Source organism: Homo sapiens, chromosome 4 (genome assembly GCF_000001405.40).
Source record: "Homo sapiens chromosome 4, GRCh38.p14 Primary Assembly".
NCBI classification, from domain to species: Eukaryota; Metazoa; Chordata; class Mammalia; order Primates; family Hominidae; genus Homo; species Homo sapiens.
Window position 1 is genome coordinate 128,320,029 of NC_000004.12, and position 4,856 is coordinate 128,324,884.

The 4,856-nt window shown below is 42.2% G+C and overlaps 1 annotated feature.

Moving 5' to 3' along the window:
- Positions 1,583-2,145: an enhancer, noted in NCBI's record as "OCT4-NANOG hESC enhancer chr4:129242766-129243328 (GRCh37/hg19 assembly coordinates)". NCBI's record gives its function as "activates a minimal SCP1, AML or CMV promoter by ChIP-STARR-seq in primed H9 embryonic stem cells {active_cell/tissue: H9 hESC(primed)}" and the evidence as "EXISTENCE:reporter gene assay evidence [ECO:0000049][PMID:30033119]".

Sequence of the window (4,856 nt, forward strand, 5' to 3'; positions counted from 1 at the left end):
GTGGGTAAGCTGGAATAAGTCCAAAGCCCTTTTGCTGCACCATGAAGCTCTGGGACTTGCTAACTACAAAGACTGAAAGTCCATGGTGGGTTTGACAAAGCATTCTAAAGTATTGACAAATTATTTCTGCCATTGCTGTTTCTGGATTGATATATTCTTCATCTTTCATAAACCAGACTCTTCAAGGGGGAAATATTTTCTTGTCTTTTTAACCAGCAAAGAAGATTAAACAGTTATTTTTCTCTAAACTGATCATTTCATCCATAAGCTCAGCCATCACTATGGTTTGAGAGAGAGGTTGAAGGGGTGGGAAGATGCTTCACAACCATATTTTTCCTTCCTTACTTCTCTTCTCTTCTCTTCTCTTCTCTCTTCTCCCTCCCTCCCTTCCTTCCTTCCTTCCTTTCTTTTTCTTTTATTTTGTCTTTCTCTCTTTCCCCCCTCCTTCTCTCTCTCCCTCCCTCCCTCTTTCCTTCCTTCCCTCCCTGCTTCCCTCCCTCCCTCCTTCCTTTCTTTCTTCTTGTCTCACTCTGTCACCCAGGCCGACTGCAGTGGTGTGAACACAGCTCACTGCAGCCTCAACCTCCGGGACTCAAGCGATCCTCCCACCTCAGCCTCCTGAGTAGCTGGGACTACAGGCATGTGCCACTATGCTTAAATAATTTTTTATTTTTTTGTAGAGATGGGGTCTCACCATGTTGCCCAGGCTGCTCTTGAACTCCTGGAGGCAAGTGATTCTCCTACCTCAGCCTCCCAAAGTGTTGGGATTACAGACATGAGCTACCATGCCCAGCCAAATATCTATTTTCTAAAGCCTTTTTGCCAATTCCTAAGAGATATGTCACCGAGAAGCCTTGAAAGCTGCATTTTGTTTACATGGACAAATGGTCATAATGAGCAGTTTCAAAAACACCAAATTCCAATATGTGATTTCTTAAAGATATATACATGTAAATTTAACAGATATGTACAGGTAGTTTTCTTATTGTTGTTTTTTTTGTTTGTTTGTTTGTTTGTTTTTTAACTCAGGCTGAAGTGCAGTGGTGCGGCCTCAGCTCACTGCAACCTCCACCTCCCAGGTTCAAGCCATTCTCCTGCCTAAGCCTCTGGAGTAGCTGGGATTACAGGCGTGCGCCCCCACTCCCAGCTAATTTTGTATTTTTAGTAGAAACAGGGTTTTACCAGGTTGGCCAGGCTGATCTTGAACTCCTGACCTCAAGTGATCCACCTTGGCCTCCCAAAGTGCTGGGATTACAGGCGTGAGCCACTGCACCTGGCCAGCAGAAACAGATTTGAGAAGAGTACGGAGGGGATGGGGAGTTCTGAAAAGTCTAATTGGAACACTGGCTGGATTATAGGTCTGTGTGTGTTCTAAAGTGGTTCTAAACCTAACTACCATAGGCAAACATAGCTCAAGTGTGTCATACCATATAAATATTTTGGAATACAGAATGGAGCTATTGTACAACAATGTCTGGAATGCTTAGTTTGGATCAACTAATCAAGGAACAATGAACCTGAAAAGGCCAGGGGAGATTTTTTTTTAATGGAACAAATGTCATTATACATCAACATTGTTTTAAAAGTTATGGTAGCTATATAAATAATTCTATGCCCTGGAGAAATAATTCTCACTTTTTTGGGTAATTTAACATTCTTTGAAATGCTGTAGAATTTAAAAAATTTTCCATTTTGCTTGGATAACTGCCATACTAGCTTCAAAAGGTGCAGAATAGTTGTGTGTGTGTGTGTGTGTGTGTGTGTGTGTGTGTGGTGTTTAAGGGAAAGTAGAGGAAGCCTTATGGGCCACCCAGGGGGTAAACTCACAATGGGAATTCTAAATGAGGGCTCCTTAGCTGGTTGTGTTTGAAGCTCTGATCCTGACTCCCTTCCTTAGCTGCCATAATCCACCGATGGAGCCTTACCTCGAGAGACAATGCCAGTTTCTCCTCATTGTTATGAGAGTAACCCTGATGTAAGAACCTCATTTTCCAGGCAAGATCAGGATTTAGCTTCTATTTAAACAGGTCTTTGGACTAGAGCTCTGATTTTTGCCTCCAAACAGATTCTTCTAGCTTTGGGTTTTTAAGATCAGTTCTGATTGAGAGGTTAGGAAGACAGTTTTCAGTGTGCCTTCTAATGCTCCCTTTAGGCCTTTCCTAATTCAAATCTGCATTTGTCTGGGAGCTGTAATAATTTTTTGGATGTGGAAGTTGGGGAATTGGGAAATTAGTTTTAGTTTTGCTGATTATGTTTCTAAATAAGATTATCCTTTTGATAAGATTGTAGAATTGAATTATTCCAAAGAATATCTAGACATTTTACCAGCCATCAAAGGGATGACCAAATCTGTCCTCTTCTCTCCTTACCACTCCCCTCCCCACTCTTCCTCTTCCCTTCTCTCATTTATTTATTATCTATTTGTCTATCTATCCATCTGTATGTCTAACCTCAATCAGTCATCTGTGAGTCATGTCTTTGTCTACTTTGTTTTGTTTTGATGGAATGGCAGCAAAGGATGATAAGAGAGCAGTAGTTGTCTGAAGTCTCAAATATCACTGGAGTTTGTTCAAAGTGTTGCGTGAAGGTAGTTCAGTCATACCTAGCTTGTATTATTTGTTGAAATCGTGGTCAAGGAAGAAAAGGACTTTTCTGGGGTTGAAAGAGGCAAAATTCAGGGTAGTGAAACTTGAAAAATGGAGCAAAGAAAACTTGGTTAAAGATAAGGCTGTAATGCCAGATGACAAAAACAAAAACAAAACAAAACAAAACAATGAAACTCCTTTTCTCTTTCCAGAGAGAGAGACTAATGGCCCCAGCTCCTCATGTGGTCTCATTTTCCAGTTGCCCCAAAACTTTCTGCTCTGAGACCCACTATGGCTCTTCTTTCTGCACCTCTCACCTGGTGAAGCGACCTGTGGCCCCACTGATGCTCAGGCTGTGACAGTACTGCAATGAAAAGAGAGACCAGGGTCTGGAGGTCCCAACAGCAAGTAGTGCTTCTAGAGAGAACTCCTCCCCAGCCAGCACTGCTCATTGAACAGCTTACAACCCATGATGAGCTGTTTTTCTAGGAGGCCCTCTTCCATTCCCCAGGCCCAAACGCCTCTGTGAGATATGGGACTAAACAATGACCCACACCTCTTGGCTAAACACTCTGGATAACACTGGTTACTCAGCTTCCTCTAGCCTTCCAGGACAGCTCACAACATACCCCACATTCCAATAACCTCAGTGCTAGAAGTCCACACCTCCTAGATCATTATCGCTTGTCTCAACACTGCTTTTTACCTTCCCCACTCTATCTTGTTTATGCTGCTCTGCAATCTCAGACTCCTCCACTGCCCTCTATAATTCTTGGTTTTCCATTACCAAACTTTTCTACATCCCAAAACTGCTCTCTGAACATTTGCTTCCCCTTCTTCCTCTAACTGAAACTTGGCTGTTCCCTGAGGAAATTTCTTTCCTAGAAGCAGTTTCCTCCCAAATGGAAGATGTCTTGTCTTTCTGTCAGAGGTGTTCGAGCTAGAGTGACTCCATCATGAGCAGGGGCTGGATAAAATGAGGCTGAGACCTACTGGACCACATTCCCAGGAGGTTAGGCATTTGTAGTCACAAGATGAGATAGGAGGTCAGCAGGACTGGTATCACAAGATTCAGGCAAAACAGGACACCATAAAGAAGCCAGCCAAACCCCACCAAAACCAAGATGGCAGTGAAAGTGATACCTGGCCATCCTCACTGCTCATTATACACTAACTGAATGCATTAGCATGCTAAAAGACACTCCCACCAGTGCCATGACAGTTTACAATACCATGGCAACGTCTGGAAGTTACCTTATACATTCTAAAAAGGGGAGGAACCCTTTTTGGAACCATTCTGGGAATTGTCTGCCCCTTTCCCAGAAAACTCATGAATAATCTACCCCTTGTTTATCATATAATCAAGAAATAATCATAAAAATAGCCAACCAGTAGCCCTTGGGGCTGCTCTGTCTATGGAGCAGCGATTCTTTTGTTTCTTTACTTCACTCATGAACTTGCCTTCAGTTTACTCTGTGGACTCACCCTGGATTCCTTCTTGCACAAGGTCCAAGAACCCTCTCTTGGGGTCTGCATCGGGACCCCTTTCTGGTAAACCTTTATTTGGCTGTAGGTAGAGTAAGTATCTTTTTTCTTCCTATTGATCCTTCCAAACTATCTATCCTTCTTTTGACTTTGAAAACCCTAAGTCTGTTGAGTTCATGTCTTCAGACTTTACCACCTAATCTCTCTTCTAATAGTTGTCATCTTTCAGAATCTCTTGCTGTCTCTCATCATTCTTTGATGACTTTATCATCTAGTTTATTGTATTTGATTTCCTCCATTATTCCTACAATCCTGTTGGTTTTGCTGTCCTTGTAGATTATCCACCCAGTACCCTGGTCTCTCAATTTCTTGAACTTCTCTACTTCAAATATCTTCACTCCACTGCAACCAGCCACTGCCATTCTTACAGCCACACCATAGACATTATTAACAGTCAATACCAATAGCCTTTAAAATCTCTGGACAGCAATCACTATCCTGCTGTCTGATTATCACATTTTGAGTCTCTATCTCACTCCTACCAGTTCCCTTGGAACTGTTCTTTGACCCTATAGGGACATTCAATCCATTGATCCTGCTGATTTTATTTTTTAATTTCCCTAACTTTCATATTGTTATTTATCTTCTTGTTAAGCTAGCTTCCATGGTCTGGCACTTGAGCCAGATTCTTGCAGAAAACCTGAACTTTCTTGTTTTCCTTTCTCTCCACTGAACACATCTGAAAAAACTCACCCCTTGTGAAACCCAGTTATCCTCCTATGCTGT